The sequence below is a fragment of the Homo sapiens genome, chromosome 7 (genome assembly GCF_000001405.40).
Source record: "Homo sapiens chromosome 7, GRCh38.p14 Primary Assembly".
NCBI classification, from domain to species: domain Eukaryota; kingdom Metazoa; phylum Chordata; class Mammalia; order Primates; family Hominidae; genus Homo; species Homo sapiens.
Window position 1 is genome coordinate 138,022,380 of NC_000007.14, and position 10,734 is coordinate 138,033,113.

The 10,734-nt window shown below is 40.6% G+C and overlaps 1 pseudogene, besides 1 other annotated feature; it reads left to right on the forward strand.

Moving 5' to 3' along the window:
* LOC100128052 (protein phosphatase 2 regulatory subunit B'gamma pseudogene) lies at positions 93–2,067 on the forward strand (annotated as a pseudogene).
* Positions 8,861–10,060: an enhancer, noted in NCBI's record as "MED14-independent group 3 enhancer chr7:137715986-137717185 (GRCh37/hg19 assembly coordinates)". NCBI's record gives its function as "activates an origin of replication core promoter dependent on BRD2, BRD4, P300/CBP and CDK7 cofactors, and independent of MED14, by STARR-seq in HCT116 cells {active_cell/tissue: HCT116}" and the evidence as "EXISTENCE:reporter gene assay evidence [ECO:0000049][PMID:35650434]".

A 10,734-nucleotide genomic window follows, 5' to 3' on the forward strand; every position in this document is an offset into this window, starting at 1 on the left:
ATGTACCAATCTCTCAGCCCATAGCCAAGAAAGACAAACAGCAAAATTCGTCAAGGTTTAGCACAAGCAATAATAAAGAACTTCAAACACTACCATCTTTAAATGATGTTCCTCCTGCTGATCAAGAGACACTTTTTATTTGGAAGTTACATCAGTGTTGTGTCCTCTTCCACTTTGTTTCTGATCCATGAAATGACTTAAAGTGGAAGGAAGAACAATGAGCTACTTTAAGTGAAATGGAAGAATTTATCACCCATCATTGGAATAGGATCACAGAGCCTGTTTACCCAGAAGTAGTCCATATGTTTGAAGTTGACATGTTTCAAACATTACCACCTTCTATCGTCCAGGAGCTGAATCTGGCCCAGAGAAAAACAAACCAATGTTAGAAGCAACTTGGCCCCATTTACAGCTCGTTTATGAATTTTTCTTCAGATTTTTAGAGGCCGGGCACGGTGGCTCACACCTGTAATCCCAGCACTTTGGGAGGCCAACGCGGGTGGATCACAAGGTCAGGAGATTGAGACCATCCTGGCTAACACGGTGAAACCCCGTCTCTACTAAAAATACAAAAAATTAGCCGGGCGTGGTGGCGGGCACCTGTAGTCCCAGCTACTCAGGAGGCTGAGGCAGGAGAACGGCGTGAACCCGGGTGGCGGAGCTTGCAGTGAGCCGAGATCACACCACTGCACTCCAGCCTGGGTGACAGAGCGAGACTCCATCTCAAAAAAAAAAAAAAAAAGATTTTTAGAGTTTCCAGATTTCCAACCTAATACAGCAAAGAAATATATTGATCAGAAGTTTGTATTGCAGCTTTTAGAGTGCTTTGACAGTGAAGATCCTCAGGGAAGTTTTTTGTTGTTGTTTAGTTTTTTGTTTGTTTGTTTTGAGACCGAGTTTTGCTCTCTCACCCAGGCTGGAGTGCAGTGGCACAATTATAGTTCACTGACTGCAACCTCCGCTTCCCAGGTTCAAGCAATTCTCCCACCTCAGCCTCCTGAGTAACTGGGACTACAGGCACGTGCCACCACACCTGGCTAATTTTAGTATTTTTTTTACAGAGACAGGGTTTCACCATGTTGCTCAGGCTGGTCTTGAACACTTGGCCTCAAGTGATCTACCCACCTCACTCTCCCAAAGTGCTGAGATTACAGGTGTAAGCCACGTGCCTGGCCTGGGAGAGAGCTTTTTCTAAAATCAGCCTTTGCAGAATCTATGGGAAATTCTTGGGCTTGAGAGCTTATATCAGAAAACAGATACATAATATATTTTATAGGTTTATTTATGAAACAGAGCATCATGATGACATAGCAGAGTTACTAGATATATTGGGAAATATGATTAATGGATTTGTTTTACCACTAAAAGAAGAGCACAGATTTTCTTAGTCAAGGTGCTATACCTTTGCACAAAGTGAAATCTCTGAGAGTCTACCATCCCCAGCTGGCATATTGTGTAGTACAGTTTTTAGAAAAGGATAGCACCCTCACTGCATCAATGGTGATGGCACTTCTCAAATATGGGCCAAAGACTTACAGTCCAAAAGAAGTAATTTTCTTAAACAAATTAGAAGAAATTTTAGATATAATTGAACCATTGGAATTTGGAAGATCATGGAACCTCTCTTCTGGCAGCTAGCCAAATGTGTCTCCAGCTCACACTTCCAGGTGGCAGAGCAAGCGCTCTATTACCGGAATAATGAATACATTATGAGCTTAATCAGTAACAGCGCAGCAAAGATTCTGCTGATCATGTTTCCATGCTTGTACTGCAATTCAAAGACCCATTGGAACAAGACAATACATGGCTTGATATCCAACACACTGAAGCTCTTCATGCAGATGAACCAAAAGCTATTTAATGACTGTACCTAACTGTTCAAAGCAGAGAAACTGAAAGAGAAGCTAAAAATGAAAGAACAGGAAGAAGCATTGGTTAAAATAGAAAATCTAACCAAAGCCAATCACCAGGTACTAAAAAAGAGAGTAACATGAAAATGTCCAGGGTGTTACTTGAATGTTTTCATAAGATAGGAATATATCTTCATCCTGAGAAGGAGGGATATCATTGGCTAAATAAATGACATATAGTGACCTGGGATTCTATTTTGTAATAGTAAGTGTTTAAACCTTTGATATTTGACAAACTTTCCAAAGTCAACTTCTAAATTAAGCTTTTTCTTTGATCTGGCTAACTCTTTTAGATATTAGGTACCCTAAAGTCCAAAAGAGACATATTTGGCTTATTTGGCATACTAAAACCATACAAAAAATATTGCCAAATATAAAATGGTGTTTAAACTTTCTTTGGGTCATATTCATATAAATATATTATTAGCATGTGTTCCAAAATTGTATAGGATTCCCATAATTCTGATATGTCCTATAATTCTGATATGTCTATATATTATCAGTAACAATTATAATTGTTATGTTAAATTGTTTTGTGCCATAAGGTGATCAGACTTTAACCACAGCTGTTCTGAGACTTTAGCCCCTCACTCGGCCTGGGCAGCCCCTCCCCTGACCCTGCCACGAGCAACCCCCTTGCTCCAGTACTCTTCAGGCCCCGGTGGCCTGGTGTTCATTTTGCAGGCCTGAGTGGCGGTGAGCAGAGTTATTTGTTAGGCTAGGGGAGAGAGGTGGCAATCCCCAAAGGAAAGGGAGCCTCAAACCCCTCTGTATGCAGTTGCCAATTGTTATTTCACTCTGATTCTTTTCATAGGCAGTTTTATAATCAGCTATAGGACTCTGAGAGTTGCCCTGGAATTTAAGTTTCTGATAACTTTGAAAATTGTGACATTAGAATAGAGGGAAAAACTTCCAAGACTGCCATAGAGAGTTAATGTGTTCATAAATGTCAAGCAGGACAGGAGTTAATTACATAGACTGAACTAATGGAAGACCAAAATAGTCTTTTTACAACTTTTTGTTTGAAACATTGCTAATTCTTTTGTTTCACAGAGTTCAGAAAACCTTTTGTCTTTTGTACTGTTTGCAGCTTTTAGCAACTGGGTAAATTACATTCTTGAGAGTAAAATTTAGAGCGTATTTCTTTCTGTCTACCTGGTTTCCTCAGAATTTGAAAACTATTTGTAAGTGTACTTAATTTATGGCAGTATAGTTGTTTGCACAAGTTCAATAAGAATCTTTTTTCTTTTGTAACAAGACACCATTGGAGACCCTGGTGATTTTACCAAGGCTTTGACTAGAGTGGCATACTTTCAGGTATAAACAGACTGCTTTAAGTAATCACAGTTGACTTATAGAGCCAATAAAAGCCCCTTGGGAAAACTGGCCTCATACCTTGTCTACACAGTCCTTGTATAGAGTTCCTCACCTGTGGTAAGTAAAGAATGTCACCTGACAGGTCCAGGAGCCCCAAATTACCTTGGGGCCTTAAGGAGAGGAATTCCCCCAACTCATATAAGTATTTGCAGGTACAGATAAATCCATGACTGGGCTCAAGTCTTTAAAAATCTAATCTGAGATTCCTTATGGAATAAAGGAATCAAACACTACCAGCAAAGTCAATTTTAGAAAGAGTCTATGTGGCAAGTAATAATTCTTGCTATACTTTATGCAAATATTCAGGCCACAGATGATAAGACTGAAATTTATTATGCAAATAAATTGGTTCTACAATGACTTGTCTTTAGTAAAAATAACTAGAGAGAAAAAAATATGTTTTAGAAAAAAAACATAGCACACCTGTTGTTAGAGTCTAGTTGTGTTCACTGTTTGTTTGTGAGTTTTTATTTTCTGCAATTTGGACTGAATCCTGAATTCCATCCAGGCTTCAAGTCCCAAATTATTGCTTGAAAATTTTTCTGACTTGGAATCAATGAAATTACTACTACATTATTCCTTGTAATATAGATGAGAAAGACATGTCAGACTACCACAGCCTTCCTCTTCTGTAACTAAAGATGCTTTGAGTCTAACATCTGAATAAATTGTGCTCAGTGTTAACCTTTGTTTTTCTTCTGTCTCCATAGAAATGACTCTTATTAATAATCTGTTTGCCTTTATCACATGTAGAGGCCTAGCCCACCTGCAATGCCACCTCCTGGATGGGACACAGATATTTAACTAAACTGATCCATTCTCAAGAACTAGACAGTGCTTATGACAATGTTCATGAGTATTCATAGCTCTTCCTGTAACCTGTTAAATACATATTTAGCCAACCTGTCATTATATCCAGTTATGATGGGCAGTGGACAACCTGTATGATAATTAAGACTAACTGCTGTGTATACATCCCAGTAAATTTGGGAAATGTCTCAGATAGCCCTGCAAGATACATACCAACAAATCAAAGCTTTGTCTGACTCCACATTGTCACTAGACCAGTGATTACTGTCCTGACTCAGGTCAGTACCATCCTGGTAGCAAAAGCTGGCTGTAACATTCGCCCTGATTTCAAGGATAGGCATATCCCTCTGTTGTGGAGTTTACTGCTGCTGCACCCTCCATATGGGAATGCGAGACGGGCTTTCCCCAGAGACTTTCCGGAACTTGCACCATAATGGTCCAACGAATATCATCTGTAAAGTCCAGGTATTCATGAATATTTCCAAATCCAAACAGATCAATTCCATACCAATACCCAATAACTACACTGTCTTTCAGCAGGAAGTAGCCAGAATAAATACAGTACCCCAATTTCACAGAGATGGAAGGGAACTTGGTAGTGGGGAATTGTAACCAAGTACTCCCATTTTCCTAAGAAATAGTTTATTTGTTTTCTTTCTCTCCTTTTCTTTTTCCTCCTTTCCCCACTTTTTACTTAGTCCTTTAGAAATGCAGATTTCTAAATTTTAATAGCCTTTTACCTCCCCTTCACCAGACATTCCCTACAGGGCAAATTCACCTAACTATATGCTTAGGAGCTCCAGGAAGGAAATCTCACCCACCAGGAGGTTGCCTCGAGAGATAACAGTCAATTTACAACCCAAACTATGCCTGCCCATGGAGACACCAGCAGTCACCAGCTCGATCACCTGGTAGATATGGCACTAAGCTAACATGCCAACCCCTCACCTGCTCACTTCCTCCCACCCCTTGTGCCATTAATGCTAAGCCCCCTTTAATAGTGCTTGCTTTCTGATCCAAAAGAAAAGTGGTACCCTCAGGCAGGAAGCGTTATAACTTCTTCCCCTAAGCTAGCTTCAGAATAAAATATCACTTTCTTTATACCAGACCTCACTCTTATTCAATGGACTCTGTTGGCAGTGAGCAGCTGAGCCTCCACTTTGGTTATAAGACTACAGGGCATGCCACCATGCCCAGCTAATTTTTAAATTCTTTTGGTAGAGGTGGGGTCTCACTATGTTGCCCAGGGTGGTCTCAAACACCTGGCTTCATGTGATTCTCCCACCTTGACTTTCCAAAGTGCTGGGATTACAGATGTGAGCCACTGGGCTCTGCCTGTATTTTGGCTTTTTAACTTAACTTATTTCCTATGTAGATAACTGGTTTTCGGTAAGGAAAGGGCCAGGAAAGCATGCAGCTTTAATATTTAAATATGCAACAAGTAGGCAAAGCTGGAAGGCAGAACACAGATGCCCCAAAATCAAGGATCCCATTTTACATTGAATCTTGGGTCCCCAAAAAGAGGGGGATACAGTGGAATGTGACAGTGCAATGCTTTTACAATACACTCCACTGCAGGGACATTCTCCCAAGATTGGTGGACAGCTCAACACTGATCAGCCCACTGTGTGATCAGGCCATCCCCCATGGGAGTCTTATCCCTTATTGGGGAGTGGGGGTATTTACGTAGCTTTTAAATACCCAAAAGCACATTTTCCCCCTCCAAATGTGCCACAAAATAAGTAGCACCTTGGAGTAATAACCATTCACTATAAGTAACTACCACTAGCCATCTCTAAGAGTGTATCTCTTACTTAACTATTACATACACCAAGGTTATTTTTGCGCAATGCAAAGTAATTTCTGGTACCCCAAAAAGCCAAAAAGACCACATAACACAATACAGAAAGAACAGTTTTAGATCTGAGAGGACTATGTCCATTTACAACTTGGGATTCCCAGAGGAAAAAAAAGCAGGTGCTCCCAAAAAGGAGTCTGTGGCACCTTTTTCTGTTTTTCTTAAGGGTTCTCGGGCTGTTAGAATTTACAATATATGAAGAATAGGGTGAAATAAAACTAACTTGAAGAACAATTTTTAAGAAAAGGAAGTGAACATAGAAACCAAACACATGAGTTCTTTAAAAAGGTTTCAGTCATCTGAAAAAAAAAAATTCCCAAAAATAGAATAAAAAAAAAGGGAAGAAAAGTATAAGGCCTTTTAAATACACACACACACACACACACACACACACACACACACACGTATATATATATGTGTATATATTTATAGAGAGAGAGAGAGACAGAGAGAGAACACTTGAATATCAGCTTTTAATTAAGCTGATTTTTAGCCACAGAGCTCTTTAAAAAAACAATTCTTTCAAGTCTCCTGTTACCAGATTTTACCCAGGACAACAGCCGATATTTTTGGCTTTTGAGTTTCTTTACCAAAGGTATCTTTCTAAGGGTCTCAATCAAAATTATGACTTAATCATGGGTGCACGAGTTATCTCCAAAGAGGTGGCAAACAATTTTTACACGATCCAGAATCACCCTAGAGATAGCTCAGAGAAAGGAAAACACAGGACGAGAAATCGGAAACTGTCCATGGAAGGAAAAAGGATCAATAAATGGCAATTCCCTGGCTGGGTATTGAACCCACGCAGCATTAGTCAAATGGGAGAGACTTAGCTACTGTACTACGGCATGGGGTGGTGCATTAGCCTGTATTTGCATTGCTATAAAGAAATACCTGAGGCTGGGTAATTTATAAAGAAAAGAGGTTTGATTGGCTCATGGCTCTGCGGGCTTTAAAGGAAGCATGGTGCTGGCATCTACTTCCGGTGAGGCCTCAGGACACTTACAATGATGATAGAAGGTGATAGGGAGCCAGCATGTCACATGCCAAGAGTGAGTGAGAGAGAGAGAGAGAAAGAAGAGAGATCCTAGACTCTTTTAAACAACCAGAACTTGCATGAACTAAGAACTCACTTATCACCAAGGGAATGGTGTTCAACTCTTCATGGGGGATCTGCTCCTATAATCCAATCACCCTCCCTCCGCCCAGGTCCCACCTCCAACTTTGAGAATCACATTCAGCGTGAGATTTGGAGAGGACAAACATCCAAACCACATCAGGTGCTCTCCACTGATCTTCCCGGAGGGAATGTAGAGCAGGCAGTTTTGAACTTGCAAAAGATTTTAACTTTCAGGTCAAAACTTTTTTTTTTCACTCTTTTTAATTTTATCAAGAGAATTTCTAAGGCTAGCCATGATACTAGCCTATGTCCTTTTAAAATTTTTGATTTTCCCATTAATTATTTAGAATAAGAAATGTATAAAATCTTTTTTATTTTCAGTGGTGTACTTAGTTCCAATAGTAACTCAATGCAAAAGCCTCTTGAAAGCCCAGGTGGTAACTTTCCAGGTTTTTTTCTACATAAGCAAGAGGTATTCCTGGGGAGGGCGTCGAGGAAGCAATCCCCATGATCATTAAAAACTTACTCTCAGAAATAGACTTAAAGTAACAAAAGACAATGTGAAAGGAGAATAAATACTTGGGGCCCTAATTCATTATGCCAAAAGAAAAAAATTATCCTGAAAGCTGAGTCATGTAAGATGTTGCCTTGCCTTTTGTTCCTAAGCAGATAGCTGCAGATAAAAGGTTAATCATCTCCTCAGGCAGCTACTCTATGTTCACCTTATCTTATGTAAAGTGCTGATTTACTGATCATGAGATAAATACATAATTGTATACATAAATTGAATGCATAAATTCCCCTGCCTGCTGCTTTTCTCTTGCAACATGTGGATTACCATACCCTCCCTCTTTCCCCTCCAGCCCACTTTTCCCCTTTAAAAACTGAAGCCCTCAAAATCACAGCTAGAGAAAGGCACAGACCACAGACTGTTTCTGTGATTCCATGTTTATTTCTTCCAAGGATGTCCTTAACCTTGGCAAAATAAACTTCTAAATTGATTGAGACCTGTCTCAGATACTTTTTGGTTTACACAACAGAAGCCCCATAGAGACGGGACCTTTTAAGACAAAACTCCCCTAAGAGCTTGACACCCTTGAGATGAAGAGTGTGCTGCTTAAAATATTACATCTTGGACTCCCTGTCCTTTCAGACTGGTCCCCTGATATGAACCCAAAAATTCATGCCCTCTTCCTGGACACAGTGTAATGCCTGTAATCCCAGCACTTTGGGAGGCTGAGGCAGGATCCAGTCACCTCCCATCAGGCCCCACCTCCAACATTGAGCCCAGGAGTTCGAGACCAGCCTGGGCAACATAATGAGATACCATCTCTACACAAAATCAAAAAAAATTAGCCAGGCATTGTGGCACGTGCCCATAATCCAAATTACTTGGGGAGCTGAGGTGGAAGGATCACTTGAGCCGATGAGGTCAAAGCTTTGGTGAGTCATGATCACACCACTGCACTCCAGCCTGGATGACAGAATGAGATCTTGTGTCAAAAATAAAAGTTAAAATTTAAAAAAAAATCATGCAGTCCGGATGGCAGAGACCAAGAGAGGGTACCCCCATCTAGTCACAAGATCAAGCTCTCAAGGCCATAAAACAAGATGAGAGGGGACTCTCATCTGATTTTTATTTCTGGGACCTACAGCAAAGTTTGTCTTTACAGATGACAACATAGAACTGTGAAAACTGATGAGTCTGCAGGCTCTTGAACAGTGGGTTTAAAGGGGTTCTAGGCTCATGTTCTCCCCTACGGTACCCCTCTTTATGACGGAACAACCCAGAAAGAAAAAGACAAAGGAAAAGAGCAACAAAAAAAGCTATTTCTGCGAGGGAAGTGGGTCAAACAGTATGAATATTCATACCACATGTACACCAGAGTCACTACAACCCAAGGCTTGTCACACAAATTCTTTTTTCCCATTGATCAAAACCATGTAGAGGAGACAACCAGTGATTTTTACCATCTCATCGGCTGGAGTGCACAGAGGGAGAGAGGCCCCCTGGCTGGTAAGAAATTCTTACCCCTTTGCTTCCGGGTTCCGGGTAAAGGAATCCTTTGCCCAGGTTCCTGGTTTCTCTTCAATGCAGCTTCCAGGACAGAAGCATAGCTTTGACCATCCTGCTCACACTGCCATGTTGTGGGGGCTATGGCCATTCACCCACTAAAGGTTCATTGAAAAATCACTGGCATGAAGCAGACTGATTAAGAGGAGAAAAGACATAAAAATTAATTCAATGTGTCTACATAGGAGCCTTCAGAATGAAGACCCAACTTCCCAGTGAGTAATAGAAACTTTTTGAGTTATAGAAACTTATATACTGTCTTGAAGTTATACAAAGAATGGGGGCTTGTACCCTGGTAACATAGATTATGGGAGCAGGTAGAAGAGGAATTCCACTGAGGGGCGATAAATAATTGATAGGGAGAATGATTGGATTGGGGAGCAGAGATCAACTTGCAAATCATTTTCTTTGGAATTTAAATGATCCTTGGAGACAGTCTTTATACCGTCTTCTCAGGTATGGTCACATCTGGGTCTTTTCTGCAATAGATAATGAGATAACGGAGCGGAAGAAAGAACTGTCCTCCTTGCTGGATCCGGATCCTAGGCAGATAAAGGAACGTCAGCTTCTTTGGGAGAGGCAGTGGAGGACAGGGGAAGGTCAAAGAGACCTTGAGGCTTTTTCAGTTCAGCAAGTCAAAATGCCATACTTGGAGGTATTGGTTTCTGAGCCCCAAACAGCTTTATATTTTTACTTTTCACATTTAAATATATGATCTGTGAAAGGAAAGTAGAAAGTTGGGATCCCAACTCACTCTGCCAAAAGAAAAAAAAATTAACCTGAAAACTGAGTCATGCAAGAAGCTACTTTCCATTTTGTTACTAAGCAGCAAGCTACAGATAAGTTAAAAATCTCCACAAGTAGCTATTCTGTGGTCACCTTATGGTATAGTGAGCACAGGATGAATACATAATTGACTATTCCCCTACCTACTTTTTTTCTCTTACAACATGTGGATTCAGTAATGTGACCATATCCTCCCTCTGTCTCCTCCAGCCTGCTTTTCCCCTTTAAGTACTGAAGCCCTCAAAATCATCTTTGGAGAAAGAAACAGGCCTGTCTCCCAGGCACACATCCTTCACTTTGGCAAAATAAAGTTCTAATCAATTGAGACCTCTCTTGAATACTTTTTGGTTTATAAATTGGCAACCCAGGTAAGGGACTCTGAGTGGAGGTGTCCCTTACCTTTGACAAATCTCCTATTGGTGCTTGGTACCAGCGTGAACGAATATCTTTATTGCTCAAACCAACAGGACATTTTGCTGAGGTCTGGGAGCTACTCCCCTCCACAGAATCCTTGATCTCCCCAAATTTGGTTGCGATTTAAGGTTTATTTTGCTGTACAACTCCTTTTTCTGGAGTTTTATTCACTTCCAACAAGAAGGCCAGCTTTTTTGCTTCCATGACGATGGAGAGCAGCCAACTCATTCCTGGAGCTTCAGCTCACTTCCAACAGGGAAGGAATGTTTGAGATTTTTCCTGCTTCTAAGATGGTAGAGCGCAGTCTTCAGCCTGGGCCCCATTCCTAGATAAGTAGCTGAATTTGGGTTTTGTCTTGGAAATTCTCCTTAATGACTAAAGTTAA